The sequence below is a fragment of the Homo sapiens genome, chromosome 7 (genome assembly GCF_000001405.40).
Source record: "Homo sapiens chromosome 7, GRCh38.p14 Primary Assembly".
In the NCBI taxonomy this organism is placed as follows: domain Eukaryota; kingdom Metazoa; phylum Chordata; class Mammalia; order Primates; family Hominidae; genus Homo; species Homo sapiens.
This window is the reverse complement of record NC_000007.14, coordinates 50,333,192-50,352,638: the sequence shown is the minus strand read 5'-3', so window position 1 is coordinate 50,352,638 and position 19,447 is coordinate 50,333,192. Positions and strand designations below refer to the sequence as shown.

Sequence of the window (19,447 nt, the reverse complement as noted above, 5' to 3'; positions counted from 1 at the left end):
TTAAAATATATAAACTTTAAGATCAACAGAATCACCAGCCAATCCCATCCCGTCCCATTGACATTATTCTTACTCAGAAGTTGTACACATCATCCATATCAGCTAGTGATGATAGGTCAAGAATGAGAAAGAAAGTAAAACTGATCTCTGAGGTAATCAACCAAAAGAGAAGCAAAAAACCCTTGACCTAAAATTCATGCATTTACTCATGGGCAAGTCCCTCATACACTCTCTCGGCACTTACACACACTCTCTTTAGGCACAGTTGTAAAAATGATTAAATGGTTCTTTCTTATTGTAATTCCCAGCAGATTAGAAGTAGCAAATTAGAATGCAGAGGAAGAGACAGATAATACTATCCAAGCAGATAAGAGAATTCAAAGCCAGGATCATTTAGGGTACAGCTATTAGCTCTCTATGCACAATGACTTTTCAGAAGTGAGGTTCAGGACCTATGGCCAGGGAAACACAAGTGTACTTTCTGGCTGAAAGAGCACTACACAGTTGAAATCTGGACTGTTGTGGAAACTGTAGAAGTCAATTTCTCTGCTGCATTGGAGGCAACAGAAATGTGTGCTGAAGGAATGAATAAGAAAACTAATAAACTGATAATACAATCTTCTCTGCTTAAGGGGTTTATAATTTACTGTGTGTGCCCACAAATTAACTCCCTGTAATGCCAGAGCTAGTATTTAGGATAGTACTTTTGAGCTAAGAAGAAAAGACTGAAGCGTTTTCAAGAAAGTCTTTAAAGAATCTTGGCATGGGGGCGGGGGGGAATTGTTAGTAGGTTCTAGGAAGAGTCCTCATCCAAAAGTGTTAAAATACACAAGAAATAAAATGAGGTAGGCTTGAGCAGTTTAGAAAATTTAGTCTTGAAATGCTCCTTCCCCTAAATGCTGGATTAAGGTAATACTGGCCAAGGTAGCCTCCAAACGTGTGAGCAGGAGTGTGAGGCCTGACATAGCCCCAGATAGTGCAGGGGCTCTAGAAAAATCTTTGTTGCAATGAAGGGCTCACTGGCCAGCTAGCTGAATGATTTCATACATGAACAGGGCAGCACATTTTACTTCACATATCCATTTCTGAGCAAAGATATTGTTGATTTGATTGCAACTATGTTCAAAGCGCACAAATCTCAGGTGGGGTAAATGAGGTTGGTGTGACTGCTTCCAGGGTCCTGCTGCCGGGAAAGTAGATATGGAGGAAACACAGAACATTCTGAGATGAAAAACAGGAAATGGGTGAATTCAGTGCCCCTTCTGGGAAATGATGAAATGAAATATGTTTTAACCTTAAGGTGTAATCATGCAAAACTTAGTTTATCAAGGTTACTAAGACATGATTTTACATCAAGATAAGTGACTTTTTAAAATTAAAAAATCCAATTTACATAATGGTTAAATCTACTCCCAATATCATAAAAATATAATGGTTAAATCCACACCCCCACTCCCCATATTATAAAAACTGCATTAAAAAAGAGAGAGCATGTAATGAACAATTGAGATGTGGTAAATGTTTTGGTGATCTTAAATCCAAACTAATGAAGTCTATAGTTAATTGGCTTCCACTATTTTATTCCGAGAGGTAACACACGAACTGAATTAAACAATTAAGAGTTACTGTGTTAAAATATAAACCTCTTTTGCTAGAATGCATAGCTAGTATTTAAACGCAGGTCTTAAATTGCTAAATACAGAAAACAGAAACACACTTGGCTCCCTGGGTCCTTGGCCCCAGCGCAGCTGAATGTGAGACTGCCTCTGAGTCAACCCGGGCAAGCCAGCACGCAGGGATAAAGCGCTACCAGAGCCCAGCTTGCTCTGCTATTTCTTTCACAGATTGACACCCGGCAGTTGTACAAATCATACCAAAGATCTACATTTATGAGTAACCAATGCAAATGAGAGGGAATGAAAGAACAGAAATGATGGGAAATCTAACAGCATAATATGTTCACACTTCAGTGACACATTTCTAACGGTTAAGCACAAGGCAGAATTATCTGTGCACGAGGTGAGGTCGTCGTTAGAGTCCACTGGTGTAACGTGCCGTCAGAACCCAATTTATCCTCACTCATCTGCCTGCCTCGGAATCCTGCCCCAAGATTCTCTACCCAGCTGCAAAGTCACCTGCAGCAAACTCTCTTTCAAAATCAGTGGGGAGGGCATGGGTTATGGGTGGGTTCAGAAATGCTACCTGTTCAGTTCACTAAATTCCCAGATGGGCTCTGAAAATCAAACTTAGCATCTGCACCGTGAAAGCCAAAGGTGACTGGAAACAGTGGTGAGGGGAACATCTGTACAGGCTTCTTGAGAAACAGAGTCAGGGACCAGCCTCTGGAGCTGGGCTCCACCTCAAAGAGGGAATGTGCAGACCCTGTGGGTGCTGGATTCAGGTCTGCATCACAGGATGTCAGACCACGGTCCCTTCAAGGATACAGCATCAACATGTGCTGGTCAGAGAGTGGGCAGCCGGCTCCAGGCCTCCCAGCGGACGGTGGTGGCCATGGGATTCAAGCCCAGCCTGCAAGGCCCACCCCGGGGCTGCCCCACCTCCCTACACCCTGCTGCCCCTCTTCCCATGTCTGCTGAGACATCTCTACTGATGTGGGGGTGATTTCATGTGTTTCTCAGAGCTTCTTACATCTAAGTTTGGAATTTTCAAACCTACGGCTTTCTGAATGAATTTATAAAGTGAGTAAGACACTGTCTTGTTTCCAAAGTCTTGACTGAAACTTTGCATGGAGGGTGCTCATAGGTTTCAGCCTTATTTTTCATAGACCCAATAACATGTTTTAAAACATAAGCATGAATGCCCTCAATGTGACAGGGTTTTCACTAGGATGGTACTTCCTATAAGATTTATTGATAAAATGCAATAGAATAAATGGTTCCAGCTAGCTATCATTTTGGGGTAAGTTACCCCAATAACTCCCCACCCATTCCCCATCACCCCCATGCCCACTCAGCTTATAGACTGGGTGGCTGTTACTGCCTGCAGGATAGACTTCTGGAAGACCTCCCTGCTGCCAGCCCTCCCCACAGGGTCTGTCCCCTTGGCCCACGATAAACCAAAGCCGGCGGTGAGGCTTCCATGGCTAAACCTGCTCTTCCTTGGTCCACGTTTTGTTCCCACTCCCTGTTCCTTTTCCCCATCCATCTCTTCTAAAATCCTACCCATTCTTATAGGTACATAATACACGTCCTATCTTCTAAAAATTCCATGCGCTTCTCATCAAAACTGTTTTCTCTCCTTGCTTATTTTATAAAGACTCAGGCCATTTCTTATTCACCTTCCTTACTCCTCATTACACACTCAACAAACACTTCGCAAGAAAAACTAGACTGGATAGTAGCTATATAGTCAGATTTCCCTAACAGTTTACTAGTGCTATTTAGAACACAACACCAACATGTCTCAGTATGTTATTCAGCTAATAGTTGATCTTTTGGTGGCAACAAAGGCCATGAACACACAGGCCTACACTAGACAGTGGTAATGACTAAGAGTTAAAGAGCAAAAGATTTATAATCAGAAGATGTGGGTTCATACCAGTTGTGCGATGGGAAGATCAGTTCATTAACCTCCGTTCGTGTTATAAACTGGCTGACCCCATGACCAAGCAGGAGGCTGGCGATGCTAAGTAGCACCTGCCACCTCTAGGCCATGCTGGAGACTGGACCTGTGCCAGGGACCTTCCTCATCTGTGAAGCATAGAAAGGGCCATGCCTGCCCATGACAAGGACCAAATAACATAAACTGCCCCACGGCCAGTGGGGCCTATCTCCTTTGTTGAAGGACAACTCTCCTTAGCATCTGTAGTGCATGGTTCTGGTGCATTTTATTCAATGAGTGGGTACATCACTGTGCAAAATAACAAATCGCTTGTTGAGATTGCTCTGCCATGACCATCTCAAGTGCTGCCTTGTTTGTTTATTTTTTACTATGTCCATCTTCAGAAGAGTTGCTGACTTAACAATATCTGGCATGGTGGTTCACTTTGCTCATTCTCGAAACAAAATGGTGGCCTGTCTCATTGTTCAAGTGGGCAGGGCCTCTGCTGCGGCTGTGGATGATGTCCAGGGTCTGAAAACCACTATGTTCTTGCTCTAATCTTGGTCCCATAGCAATAAGGAAGCAGCATCTTAAGGAGGTGTTTTACCTCAAAGAATGTCCCAAAAATAACTGTTTCTCATTGAACATAGCTCACACTCATTTTCCTTTTAGAAGTGAGAATTCTGCTAATAGCCAACGTGTGGGGCATCTTACAAAATCAATAATCAACAAACGCCCCTCTCCTTCTCCTTCTTCCTCAGCTAGGACTAACATGGATTCTGGAAGAGCCAGATATGTCATGTCCGGAGGCAACAATTTAAGACTTCAAAGAATTTATTTTTCTGACAAACTTAAAAAATGAATTTCTTTCACTATCTAACAATTATGCAGTATGGCTGACTGATGGGATATCAAAGGAGATTTCTCTCAAAAAAGGAATTCTCTTGGAAATGTCCCTGGCATATCAGCGGGAAAACCTGTGATTTTCTTTATTCTTTTGAAATAAAGGGCATACTTCACACTTTGGTTACACTAAAATGTCCCTTGGTCCCCTGCATGGCCCCCTGCTCTGTGGTCCCCTCTGTGTACCTTGCAAAGTGGGCCTCCCTGGTATGAGTCGGGGAAATGGGATGGGTGTCCATCTGCAGCACAGCTTGGTTCAATGCAAACACGAGGGTTGCACAGAGCGTCACAAAGAGCCGTCCGCATACCTATTCTCACGAAGCACACTTTCTCCCTGGTTTCCCTTTCACTTAAGCTTTCTAAGAAATCTTTCCGTATCGATGGTAATCCTCCTGCCCTTGAGTGACTTGTGGAATCATGTGACACGCGTCAAACATGTAAACTGAGCTCCAGGAATTCTGGATTTCAGGAGAGGACTGATTTCTTTCAAAGTGATATTTCCACTCACGAAAATAAAAACGAAATTCAATTAAAAATTGGACAGACAAAGCTACTTATAAGACTAGTGTCAATGGATAAAGTAAAGTAGAAGTCAAGGAGGGCTCCTGGGGAGACAATGGCATGTTTTCCTGCTTGTGCTCAGGTGCATTGTGGGATTTTTGCCCACTTTAGGCAACTCGCAAAAACTTGGTTTCCAATGGTTTAAAGAGTATGACTTTGACTTTAAGCTTGGTTCAAAGTCATGATGAACCACCGTAAACTGTTTCTCCTTCTGCGAGTGCTTGTGCAGACAGGGAGGACAGGGATCTCAGAGGCTCTAGGATCTGATCCTTATCAGAGATCAGACCAGGAGGCAGCCCTTGCAGCTCAGGTATGCTAACTTTATCTTTTTCCATTATTATTTTAACAGATTAGTAGGCTGTTTCCAAAAAAGGCTCTGTTTTTAACTAGGCATCTCATGGAGCTGTGGAAATAGCATCTCAAGGACAGGAATGCTGTCTTATTTATCACTGTCCCTGTAACTAGCACATACAGTATTTCCAAAAGATCTTAACAGGCTGAAATGAAATACACTGAACCAAATGAGATAACGATAATTGCCAGATCCTACCCTTCCCTCCAAATATCAAAGGCACAAATACAAGATGCAGGAGATAATGTCTTCAGGGCTGTTCCTGAGAAACTGACTCATGAGTTCTCAGTTGACAGTTAACATGGGTCGTGGCTGCAAAGATCGAACACAATTTTATATGTGCACATGTGCCCCATTAGGAGGAGCAAGGAAGGTGTTATTCCTGCTCAGCTCTCTGCCCCTCAGAAATGGAATAGTAAATAAAGTTGGGAAGCATGGAAAATGAGTTTAATATGCCATGCTTTCTCAGACTAACGGCAGTGAGTCATGTGAAATTACACAGTTAGCTTTGGCAAACTGTTTCCCATTATGCCCTGAGGGGGAAGGTACACTTACACACAGAAGAGCTCCTTTCGAGGCAGGGGATGGGATTTCTTTTTCATTCTGCATTCCCTGGAAAGACCAGGAAGGCCCTTTGGGTGCAATGTTCTAGGAAGGACTTGGGCACATTGAAGAATGCCAGGGAAGAGTGAGACCAGCAAGAAAAAGCAAGGCAAAGGCATCATGGTGTTTATTTCATCATATGCTGAGGAAACCAACACACTTTAGCCAGGAGAACGGGCTATTTAGAGGGCTTTGTAGAGCTGTTGTCAATGATTTGAAGGGCTGAACTGCTTGAGAGAAGAGAAAGTAGTTACACTGCAGACATCTGCAGGGCTGGCTTTAGAGACAAGCAGATTTAGTTCAGGGCTTTTGTAACAATCAGTGCTTCCGTAAGTGGGCTGCCTCCTGAGGGTTCTCAATAGGCGAGGTGATCACCTGTTAAGGATGCTTAGGAAGAACTTATGCACTGGGGCCTGATGATCTCTCGACAGCCTTCCATCCAGTATGTTTTATGAGACTGGGGATCTCTGTGCACAGCAGCAACATAACATTGTTCAAACACACCGTGCACATGGCTAGCTCTGTGGGCAGCGGGGGTGGGATGAAGTTGTCTGCACTAGAATCTCTTCTAAATTTCCATCTGTTTCATGCACATGCAGACAGAAGCTATTGCTCCCCTTTCCACTAGGAGAACAGTCAGACTGCAGTCAGTGCATCCCACAAAAGCAGTGATGGATTTCAGTGCATCAAGCTAAATATTTTCATGAAGTATTTTAACTGAACCAGATGTTCAAACCAGGCAGAACTGCCACTGCACCCGGCCCTAAATTTTTTTGCATTTTTAGTAGAGATGAGGTTTCACCTTGTGGTCCAGGCTAGTCTCGAACTCCTGACCTCAAGTGATCCTCCTGCCTCGGCCTCCCAAAGTGCTGGGATTACAGGCGTGAGCCACAAACCAGGCAGAATTGCTTGTGGGATGAGGAGATAGATTATTCTGTATTTCATTTCTATCTTTTACCTTTTTTTTCTTTCTGCCAAGCTGCCTCCATCTTTTCTTACACCAGAAGGCAAATTCTTTGGCCCCATGAATCTCATTCTTCTGGTTCACCCCTCTGCCTAGCAGAGTGCCTGGGCCACAACAGACATTTAACATGCATCTGTCTCATTAGCTGATTCTCCAAAGACGGCTCAATTTCCACCTCCCGGGGATCCCATGTGTTCTGGAGTGCTGACACCACTCAAAACCTGAGCTCCAAACCTAGAGTGTGGTGCAAGGCTTCCCTTTAGGTCTCTGCAGTTTGTTTAGCTCCACAACGGAACTAGGTCTTATGTACCTCTGATTTGCCATGATCTCTAGTCCAATATCTTGTAACTGATTCAGTTTGTGCTTTGGAGACAATATGATTCTGAGTAATATGTTAATAAGCCTGCAGATTTCTTTATAGTTTTTAAGACTAAATAGGATAAAACAAATCCATAGTATATACCCATGAATATTTTAGTAAGGTGGTAATTCACTGTGGGATGTACTAATAATTTCTGAGATCCCTGGATGCCGTCAATTCAGATTATTTATACCCTATGGGCTGGGAGAAGACCAGAGGGTGTGACCTTCACAGACTCCAGACTTCTAAGAATATTTTAATTATATAGCAAAGCTTAAAATATTCATTCCTCTTATTTTTCCCATCTATTAGGTTGGTGCAAAAGTAACCGTGGTTTTTGCTATTACTTTTAATGGCAAAAATCGCAGTTACTTTTGCACCAACCTAATATATTTGATTTAAATTTTTAGATGATACATTTTATTTTTTCCCCTCATCTGTGTAAGCACTGCTCCTTTCCCTTTTAAGTATTTTCATCTCTTACTTAAAATGTTGCTTCTTGACTTTCAATTCCAACTAAGATGATTTTCTATTTCTATAGCCTATCTCTTAAAAAGGTATCATCACAATACACTGAATTTAGTGTTTCTGTTAGTCAAGATGTCAATTACTTTTCTACTTTTAACACTGCATTGTGTTATGTGATCGTGAAGCAATTCAAGTAGATGTAGTACCTGCCTGCAAGGAACTTGCAATCTACCTGCACATGAGGTACAAAATAACGGGAGTATAACAGCTTATACATGATTGTACTTTTAGCACTGATGCAGAGGAGTGGAATAATTCTAGATGTGCTCAGATGAACTTAGGCAAATAGTTTGGAAGTTGTAAAATGTGTTTCCCAAAGCACAAAAAATAGAGAGGCAAAATGTGGATGACTTGCCCTGTGGGTTGGGGATGTGTGAAGAGAAGGAACCTGGCTTAGAAACACTGCTGATTGACTTCATAAAGGAGTCATTGGAAGGGACAAAGAAGTAAAGGAAGACAACATCAGCGGATGTGGCCTGGGTCATCTACATGTGAGGACAGTCACACACTAGACACAAGGCAAAAGGTGTGTCTTTTCTGACCTGGTCATGCAGATTAATGAGTTTTTGAAATACCACTTTACATGTCATATACTTAGGAAAAAATATGATTTCATTCAATGTATTTTGCAGATGAAGAAAGAGGAGGTAGGCCTGCCCCACACATCCCGATTCTGGTAAGGCAGAGAACTGAAGCTTAAACCCAGGACTTCTGCTTCAAAATCTTTTACAACAAGCTGGGCTCACCTTCTGGAGGATTTTTTGGGGGTTTGGGGAAAAAGAGGTGGGTAAATTTATAAGTCAGCTCAGAAAGCAATTCTCACGACTTCACAATTAAGCCTTATTTGTGAACAAAAAAACAGCATTCCTCAGGTTAAGTTAGCACTTTATTCAAAGGTCTAGGCTCTAAAAGGATTTTGGACTATTTCTAAAAGGAAAATAAAACCCAGACTCAAATATACAAAAGCAAGTGCTTGGGTCTCTGAAGGTAATCAAAACAGGGAGATGCAAAATAAATGTGAGTGATGAAAAAAATGCGGATTCTCAACGTTAGGTCTTCCAGGCATGTGTGCTGGTGCATTAGGCCTTCAGCCCATCACTGCTGCACTGTATTACACTCTAGGTACACTCAGTTAAAGACATGAAATGACCATAGCTAGAGACAGTAACATTGTAACCACAGCGTGTCTTCTCCTGGCACAAGCCTCTTGTACAAAGAAGTAGTTCTCCTTGTCCACAAATCTCAAACCAGGAAATCCCTAATTCATTTAATGATCAGGAAAATGCAAGAGATTTGTGTAGTTGTGACTCTTCCAGTTACTCCCCGCTGTACCATTATTTTAGGTTACCTATCACACAGGATGGTGTGCCTGATGGCACTGGCAGTCATTTCTCTATGTCTTGTAGAAAAGTTTACTCCTGGGAAAAACAATTTGGTCACTAGTCCTTGGACCTAAGTAACAGAATCTTGATGAAATGGTACCCATGATCAAATGTTAAAAGGAAGAAAGGGATGGAGAAAAGAAGAGAGGAAGGAAGGAAGGAGGAAAGGGAAAGAAAAAGGAGGAAGGGAGGGAGGGAGGGGAGGGGAAGGGAGACGAGGGGAAGGGAGACGAGGGGAAGGGAGGGAGGGTGGGGAGGGAAGGAGGGAAGAAAGAAAGGAAGGAAGAAAGAAAGGGAGGGAGGGAGGAAAGAAAAAAAGAGGAAAGAAGGAAGGAAAGAAAGGAGAAAGAGAAAGGAGGAAAATTAAAAAGAAAAAGGAAGAAAGGAAGGAAGGAAGAAGAAAGACAGGAAGGAAGGAAAAAGGAGGAAAGAAACAAAAGGGCAAGCAAACAAGAAAGGTCAAAAGACAGTAACGGCCCAATCAAAGCTTCCATGACGAATCTGTGCCTTTTTGGATCATGGTGTACTCAGGAAATGCAGCCGCCACAGGAGCACACGCTGTCTCCTGAACTGCAGGAAGAGCAGCGGTTAGCAGCAGGAGGTGTCCCTTTCACAGGAAGGCTGGGGTCTGGGCTGCACACTGCGGAGCAGATTCACATGCCAGGGTGGCCCCGCTTGGGCTATGAGGACATGGGTGCCAAGGTGGAACTGCTTTCTCAGGCTGCAGGCAGGCAGCTTGCTGCTTCTCTTTCTCTCTTTGAAAAAAAAAAAAAAAAGCCTTTCCTTCACCACCTCTCCTCGGTTGCTTTATCAGGTTGCAAAAGCATCTTTTAGGAAGTATCAAGGGGCATCACTCTCCACAATTTTTGCAAAACAATTCCATAGTTGTGATGGTGTCTGTCTTTGCAGCTTAGTTTACTTACAGCCTGTCCTCAAGGGCGCTCTCTGGGAACCTGCCTCATGTCTATAAAGCAGCTACCTCATTTCAAAAATTTAAAGAGGACTTCCCAACTTAAAAAAGTTACCATAGAGTACATGGGAATACAATGAAGGGATGAAGACAAAAATTAAATGTCATGTTTTTCTACATTTAATTCAGCTACTTAGCTTTGAAAAACTGATTTGTTTGACATGTTCACATGTTGTTGTATTCTCGTTACTTTGTACTTAACCAAAATGCCTACAAGTACAAGACCTGTACTTAAAACACAGCTACATAAAATAAACCCAATTGATGTTAAAATTGGACTGGACCTAGATTTTCTTTACATCAAATGTGGGCAAAAAATGAAAGACTTAAAAAGCAGATGTTCACATACATTTGTGACAACACTGAGAAAATGTTTTGAAAAGCAAATTGATTTAAAAACTACTTTTAGAGAGTTGATAAATGACTAGTCTTTGGCTAACATTCAACAAGGGTTAATCTAAAAAGTTTTTTTTTTTTCCACAATATAATGACACACAGTTCTTTGGAGCTCTCAAGATCTGCCTGCCTGTCCAATAGGTAACCCCTAGCTGCATGTGACTCCTGAGCACTTGAAATGTGACCAACCCAAATTGAAATGTGTGGTGAAGATAAAAAAAAAATACATCCGGGGTTTCAAACACATAGTTCAAAAAGAGTAAAATATTTCATTAACAATTGCTTATATTGAGTACATACTTAAATAATATTTAAGCATACTGAATTAAGAAAATATATTCAAATTAATTTCACCTGTGTCATTTTTCTTTTTTAATGTGACTACTAAAAATGGACCAGCAAATATGCAGGTCAAATTATGTTCCCCTTGGACAGTGCTACGCTGGAATTTCTGATTTCTATATTTCACAAATAATGTTCCACAGATGCTAGTTATCATCCATCTGTAAAACCTCTGTCCCTCAAACAATGACTGTTCAACGTTGTTGCGTCTCATAAGGCATAAAGCTGGGCTAGGACTGTCTGCCTATGTCCTGATTAGAAAGACTCCATACAGCCTGGATACGGTGCCTCACATCTGTAATCCCAGCACTTTGGGAGGCTGAGGCAGGTGGATTACCTGAAGTCAGGAGTTCGAGACCAGCCTGGTCAACGTGGTGAAACCCCATCTCTATTAAAAATGCAAAAAATCAGCTGGGCATGGTGGCGGGCGTGTAATCCCAGCTGCTTGGGAGGCTGGGACAGGAGAATCACTTGAACCCAAGAGGTGGAGGCTGCAGTGAGCCAAGATCACACCACTGCACTCCAGCCTGGGCTGCAGAGTGAAACTCTGTCTAAAAAAAAAAAAAAAAAGACTCCATACCCAACATTTAAAATATGTGTGCAGGCACAGGGCAAGCAGATTTTAAGGGTATATTTTTAGGAGACTCCATCAATAATAAAACATGGTTATTGAAATGGGAAAAATTAACTAACACATATAAAACCTTAACAGAAATTTTTACACTTAAAGCTACAAAGTCAAATATAAAAATCAGTGTTGAGACCATATATAAGTAGCAATAATGCTTTAAAACTGCGAGTAAATGCAGCCTTTACAGTGACAAAAACAACTCCATTGTCATCTCAGGATGAAAGTCACTTCACTTAGATCACAGCATTCTCTACAGAACAATAATTTCACTAAGGATTACTTGCACCATAACACTAAGATTAAGTAAGGGTGGCTACACCTGGTAATAGTTAATTGTCACTAAACATTATGGACAGAGTAGAAATGCTTGGGGGGCACTGGCAGATTCTTAATTTTATTGCCACCAAGTTCAACTGGAGAGCACAGAGATATTGCAAAAGCAGTCAAAATTCTGCCAGGTTCCAAGAATCATAATAAAAATGATCATATAGCTGCCTGTAGAAATATAATAACAGCACTTTTCTCATTTCAGCAGGATTTCACTTCTAGGGTAACAGTCCTTCACTCTGAAAAAGAGAACAGCCACATCTGCCACTGGGCTCTGCCATGCAGCAGGGGGCCATGCTGAAGGCCTTCCATCGATCACACCCAGCCTGGTGAGGAGTGACACCGGATGTTCAGGGCTTCACCAGAATCATCTCCTGGTGATTTCAGTGGAAATCGACAGCCTGCAGCCACATCCCCTGTGGGGGAAGTACTCTCCTGGCAGCAGGCCTTGCGGAGACACACCCTAGACCTGTCTCTCTGAGATCCCTGCAGCTGAACTCACTCCTGAAATTAGGGCACCAAACGGCTCTTCAGTTAATGGAGTTACAGCAAGTGTCAGGTGCTTCAAAGCACAAAAATACAATCCCCAGCCCTTCCACAGTGGAGGTAGTTTTCTGATAGACTCCTTAGACATGCGCATATTGCTAAGCCCTTACTGCGAAAGTATCCTCAAGAAGCCACCCCTGCAGGCACAGGGAGAACTGCACAGGCCACTTCCTGGACCTGCACACCTATCTCAGGGCTGCATTTAATCTAAGGAAGTCAACAGAAATTTCTTTGCAGAAGACCAACTTAATCACAGGAATTAAAGAATATTGCATGGGCTAATATTTTTCTGGAAAAATCATAGTAATTTAGTAACATATTAATGTAATTTAGACATCTTGCTTTACATTTAAAAATAATTCAGCCCCAAATAAAAATCATTCAGCCCCAAATAACAGCAATAGCATAATAGCTCATAAATAAGACACAGAATCCTTTTCTTTCTTTCTTTCTTTTTTTTTTTTTGAGAAGGAGTTATCACCCAGGCTGGAGTACAGTGCCACAATCTTGGCTCACTGCAACCCCCGCCTCCCGAATTCAAGCGATTCTTCTGCCTCAGCCTTCCCAGTAGCTGGGACTACAGGCACACGCCACCACACCCAGCTAATTTTTTTTTTCATATTTTAGTAGAGATGGGGTTTCACCATATTGGCCAGGCTGGTCTCAAACTCCTGACCTCATGATCTGCCTGCCTCGGCCTCCCAAAGTGCTGGGATTACGGCGTAAGCCACCATGCCTGGCCAAATCCTTTTCTAATCATACTCCCCCAGCAACCAAACTAAATGCTAAAGATGTGTTTTGTTTAGAATATGGAGAGTCTAGTTGCTCCAACATTTCCAGTTTGTGACTTCAACAGCAAAGAGTCATTTGGAACCAACTCTTCTGTTGGACAAATTATATGTACCCCACAGTCCTCCCCAATAGATTCACCCTTTCCCAGCTCCTCCTCCACAACACACACACACACACACACACACACACACACACACACACACAACCCTACCCAAAAGAATTCCTCCTTTCAAATTTCACTGTCAAATTTCAGCTGTCAGGACATTAAAAGTGTATTTAAGCTAGTGGTGCACAGATAAACCAGCTCTCAAAAAGAAAAAGCCTTGATTTGCAGCGTTCACCGATTTCTGTGGTGTAAATACTCCCAACCACGGTAGACTTCAAGCTACCAAAAGTTTACCAACAACCTGGCAGATTTTCCGCATATTACCAGTTGGCTGATTCTAGGTGGCTCACTGCTCACCGGAGCATGCTTTCTGAGTTCCCTATAAGTTTCTGTTATCTCACTGATCCTAACAGGCAAAGAGTTTAAAATTGTGAGCGTGTCTGCGGTAATTTGTGAAATGTAGGTTCCTGTTAGGGCCTTGAAGAAAGCTGGGCTTATCTGGTGGGAGACAGTAGCCCAGGCCCAGCCCTGCCTTGCCAGCAAGAGAGGGCTTGGTAGGGCAGCTTCCTGGCATGGCCCACTCCCCCAGAGCAAGAGCTTTCATTTAGTCTAACGGGTTCTGTGGAAACTTTCCGGGGCAATGTTAAGGCTGTACTCTGTTTAAGCCTTTCTACTTTTGCATAAAAGGAGGGGAAGCTGTTTTTTCTGGGTTATATTTACACTTCCCAAATCAGAAAATGCCCTAACCAGATAGGGGGACAGGTGGCAACTGGCAACCACAGCTCAACCCCCCAGCCTTTTTTTCCCCATTTCTTTCTGAAACCCCATGTAGAAGGAAAGTTAACGAAATGTCAGTTGGTTGTTTTATACACAGAGCTAACTATTCTTTCAACACAGATGGAACAAGGCAGAAAATAAAACTGGGACCAAAAACCCGGCAACAGAAAATGTTATCTATCTACTCTGACAGCACTTTTAATCTAAGGATCTCTTTATTTTCTAGAAGTTGGTTCTATTTATTGAACGAATTAGGTTCAATGTGATCTTGAGTGTAAGGCATCAAAATAAAATGAAGATTAACATTGGTTTTTGTTTATAAAAATAAGCAACTTTCCATAGTTAATCTGCACCTTTGAAGACACATAGTCATCACTGCAAGCATGGTTGAAAATGCAAGGTTTGGCATTTTTCAACCTTTCTGGTCCAATTTCTCTATAGTTTTTTTTTAAAATTCACATGTCAGATTCTGGAACATTACTGGCTATATTAAAAAACCTTAACAAATCTGCCAAAGATTGCCCTTCTGAATTTTCAAAGCTCTTACGAGTGGGAAGTACTGAAGGAAGTGAGGACGAATGTGTCCGGGCTAACTGGTGGCTTTTCCAGCAGGGTCCTCACCTGAGAAATGTGGAGACATTTTGGGTATCACAATCACCATGGTACCACTTGTGATGTGGGTGGCTAAATATCCTGCAATGGGAGGGACAGTCTCACCCAAAGAAGTGCCCCCTACATCAAATATCATCGTGCCCACTGAGAAACAGTGACCTAAAATAAGATGATGAACATCAGATGCAGCCTCAAATTCTCTCCTCTCACTTTGAAAGTTCTCTCTACTGTCCTACATGCTCCATTTGCCCTCATCTTTGAGAAAGCAGTGCCACATTCCCATTCATTCATTCAATACCAATGTATCAGACAGCACCTACTCTAGGCTGGGGGATGCCCAGGTACTGGGGATCACGCAGGGAGCAAATCAGAGCTGAGTCCTTCATCTACGAGTGGTGACGTTGCTGCTATAAGGCAGGGCAAGGAGCAACAGTGCTGAGAACGCTATCTTAGGGCATGTGTCCAGGAAGACCTCTCTGTGTGGAGACCACTGCACAGAGCCCTGAGGGAAGGGAGAAGAGCGCCAAGAGGAAACCTAGGGGATAGTCCAGGCCCAGGCCCAGCTCATAGGTGACTCACGCCGGCCTACCCTGGGGCTGCTAGTTAGATTTTAATCCTTTCTATTCTGCTAGCTCCCACTTACTGGACTTCAATCACATTTAAACATTCTCCTAAAAAGACTACCCTGTAAATACCATCCCCTAGTCCTGTGACCCCCGACCCCAACCAGCTCCTTGTCTTCTTTCTTCCCTTGGTTCCTGATGCCTGACAGCCCACAGCTGCTGCCTCCTCTCCTGTGCCGCTCCCGGTCCCTCTCACATGGTTGGTTTTGCCCCAATCCTACCGAGCCGCTTGTGGGAAACCCACCGCCAACCCCCAGACACCTCTTTCTAGGGCATTATCCTGTCCCCAGCAACTCCTCTCGCCATGTTTCTTTCTAGAAATTTTACCCGAATCACACAACTCACTCTGTCTCCTTCTTTGCTCCTCTCTTAGACAATTAAAGGCATTTACTCCCCAGGGCCCCTGTGGTCCTGCTGTTTTGTTGGCTGTCCCTCCTGAGCTGATAGTGTCCCACAGATGGAACTTGCCCTATGACTTACATCCCTACCTTCCAGACTGTTCCGTGGCTAGACACCATCCCTTGGTCTCATGCGAACCCCTACTCTGGGTACAGTTCCCATTGCATTCAGCAGAATCACTGTGGCCCCAGTCACCGAAGTGGACAATGCAGCCAACGGATGGAACCGCCTCAAAGGGGCAAACACCACGGGGCTGCTGAGATGCCCTTCTCTGCCCTCTGAGACGCCCCTCCCTGCCTTTCTTCCCCTCCTGCACCAAAGGCCTCCTGGCCTCTCGCCACCGCCTGTCCCAAGGGCGAGCTATCTGACAGGCCCCCTGAAGGGCTATTCCCAGGTCAGCAGGTTTGAGGGTTCCCTTTCCAGCACCACACCCTTTATTCCTCAGCCTCAGAGCGAGTGCGGGCCTCCTGTGCCTCTGAGCCTGCAACCCGCCCCACTCCTGCCACCTCCACCCCTTCCTAAAGAAGGGGACAGCCGAGATGTGACCCATGGTCCCCACGCACGCCCCTTCACCAGCACATGCGTGCCTGTGGCAAAATGACTCATCCCCTCCCTCTGCACCCTCCCCCTGCACCCTCCCCCTGCCCCCGCCGGGGCCAGGCAGGGCTCCTCCTCCCCCAGTGCTTCCAGCTGTGGCAACCACATGGCGTTTGCCAACTGAGTCTTCTCCGGGGACCCAGCCTGGCCACGGGCTGCACCCTGTGTTTTATCACTGAGGAACTGTAAGCTTTTTGTAGGGGTCAGTGTGTCAATGCTTCTCCCTAAAGCCACCTGCTTAACAGGAATGTCAGACATGGAGCAGGCCAAAATGCAGATGATGATGATATCAGTGCAGCTGCTCTGGACAGCCCTCTATGCTGTGCCCTGCTGGGTCAGGCTTCACAGACATGACAGCCAGGATCGGGTGAGGGGGCGCCCTCACCTCACAATGAAGGAACAGCAGAGCCACCTGCCAGGGCCAACAGCTAGGAATCAATAGAGCCAGGCCTACCTACCCACATGGCCTGCTCCCAGGCACAGCAAACACCCCAGTGGCTCAGCTGCCACATGCATGTGCACACATACACCACAGACACACCACACATCCCATACACACATACACACCACACATCCCATAAACATATACACAGCACACATCCCATAAACATATACACACCACATACCACGCTTCCCATACACACATACACACCATACATCCCATACACACCACACATCCCATACACATATAACACACATACACACTACACATCCCATACACATACAACACACATACACACCACACACCACACATCCCATACACACATACACACTATGCACCACACACCACACATCCCATACACACATACACACCACACATACACACTACACATCCCATACACACATACACACCACACACACACCACACATCCCATACACACATACACACCACACATACACACCACACATCCCATACACACATACACACCACACACCACACATCCCACACACACATACACAACACACCTCCCATACACACATACACACCACATACCACACATCCCATACACATACACAACACATATACACACCACACATCTCACACACAACACATATACACACCACACATCTCACACACATACACACCATACATCCCATATACATATCCACACCACACACCACACATCCCATACACATCATATATCCCATACACATACACATCACACATACATACCACACATCCCATAAACATATACACACCACACACCATATATCCCATACACACCACACATCCCATGCACACATGCACACCACACACACTACACATACACACCACACATCCAATACACACATATACACCACACTCCACATATCCTGCACACATATACATATTACTTGCACACACACCACACATACACACCATATATCCTATACACATATATACACCATACACCACACATCCCATACACACACACACACCACACATTACACATCCCATACACACACATACCCCACACATACACACCACATATCCCAAACACACATATCCACCACACATCATGCATCCCACACACATATACACATCACATGAACACACCATACATACACACCGCATATCCCATGCACATATACACACTGCACACCACACATCCCATACACATATACAGACCACACACACACTACACATCTCACACACATATACACACTACATATGCACACCACACATCCCATACACATATACACAGCACACACATACACTACACATCCCATTCATATACACACACCACACACATACACACCCCATATACATATACACAGCATACACATATACACTACACATACACACACACACCACACACATACATGCACACACAAACATATGACACACACAACATACAACTACATGCATAAACATACCACATGTACATAGATACAAACACACACATGCCACACACATACATATACATACATCACACACCACATATACCCCCCACATATATACAGACACCTGCACACACACAACACATGTACCACATGCACATATACACAAACACACACACATCAATTTCAGTTTTCCAAGGAAAGTTATTAAACTTCTGCTGCCTGATCTCACCGGTCTATTCCAAAACCTAGTACAAGATGTTATCTGATATAGCACAAAAGTCACTTACTTTAATCTAAAATCAAAACTGTCATGAAGTTCTGTGGAAGACATCATGATCCCTAAACATTTTGAACTATTTGACAAATTAGCAGACATAAAAATCCTACCCAAAACGAATCTGGAAGACTGTAAATTAAAATTTACTTTGAAATGCGAAGCAATGAACCTGTTACATGATGGCCTCTCTTATCAAACATGGAAAAGCTTAGAGGTGGGCAGATCATTTTGTAATACTATATTTCATGTTTGGGAAATTTGAAAAAGGGGAGGCTTTCCAACCGGGATCATCTGGGTTTGGATATGTTCATGCTGACAATACCTGCTGTCTTCACGAGGCATTCCAAGATAGTGGTAGTAAATTGCAAGATGAATAACATAGAATTTTCAAAATTTGCTCCATGGACCACTGAACAATAATTCAACTATGAAGGGGGAAAGGAACTAAAAAAGCAAGGTGAACAAGAATCCAAATAATATGCTTTCAGTTATTCCTCAAAGAAGAAAGAAAAGAAAACTTGAAAACCAGTACTCCAGCCACTTGAAGTTCGGCAAACAGTTCTCGGCTTGAGACTTCTCTCACATTTGAACATGCTTGAGTTCAGCTGCAGCTAATGCTCAGATGCTGCTAGATAATATTTCTCCCCAGCTAAAATGGGGTTTATCGGTTCAGAAGAGATGCATTTCGCAGATAAAAACAACTTCCTCTAGCTGCTGATTAGATAAGCAGGCTCCGCATCCGTGCTCAAAAGCCTGCTGCCCAATCTCCAGAGCGGCTGCTTTCTTTCCATGGTGAAAGCTGTCCCCAGCACCGCTCCTTCCCTCCCAGAGTGTAGAGGACTGTTACCACCATTTGTCTACCCACCCCCCTCCCCCGACTACCGTGCTGGTCTTCTGCCTGAAACTGTAAAATGAAGGGGAGATTTGGCACCAGAATAGCCAATTTAAAATATGGTAATCCTCTTACAATTCCCACTGCAGTCTTAGAACTCATGGCTGAGTAAAGAAATTTT

General features: G+C 43.6%; 1 protein-coding gene across 59 annotated transcripts in view, besides 3 other annotated features; it reads right to left on the bottom strand.

Moving 5' to 3' along the window:
- The window catches only part of IKZF1 (IKAROS family zinc finger 1), a 101,647-nt gene that overhangs the window by 52,463 nt on the left and 29,737 nt on the right, over nucleotides 1–19,447 (bottom strand). The gene's annotated exons all lie outside the window — the stretch shown is intronic.
- Nucleotides 63–112: an enhancer, noted in NCBI's record as "active region_26003". NCBI's record gives its function as "activates an Ori minimal core promoter by ATAC-STARR-seq in GM12878 lymphoblastoid cells {active_cell/tissue: GM12878}" and the evidence as "EXISTENCE:reporter gene assay evidence [ECO:0000049][PMID:35858748]".
- Nucleotides 133–312: an enhancer, noted in NCBI's record as "active region_26002". NCBI's record gives its function as "activates an Ori minimal core promoter by ATAC-STARR-seq in GM12878 lymphoblastoid cells {active_cell/tissue: GM12878}" and the evidence as "EXISTENCE:reporter gene assay evidence [ECO:0000049][PMID:35858748]".
- Nucleotides 2,076–2,135: an enhancer, noted in NCBI's record as "active region_26001". NCBI's record gives its function as "activates an Ori minimal core promoter by ATAC-STARR-seq in GM12878 lymphoblastoid cells {active_cell/tissue: GM12878}" and the evidence as "EXISTENCE:reporter gene assay evidence [ECO:0000049][PMID:35858748]".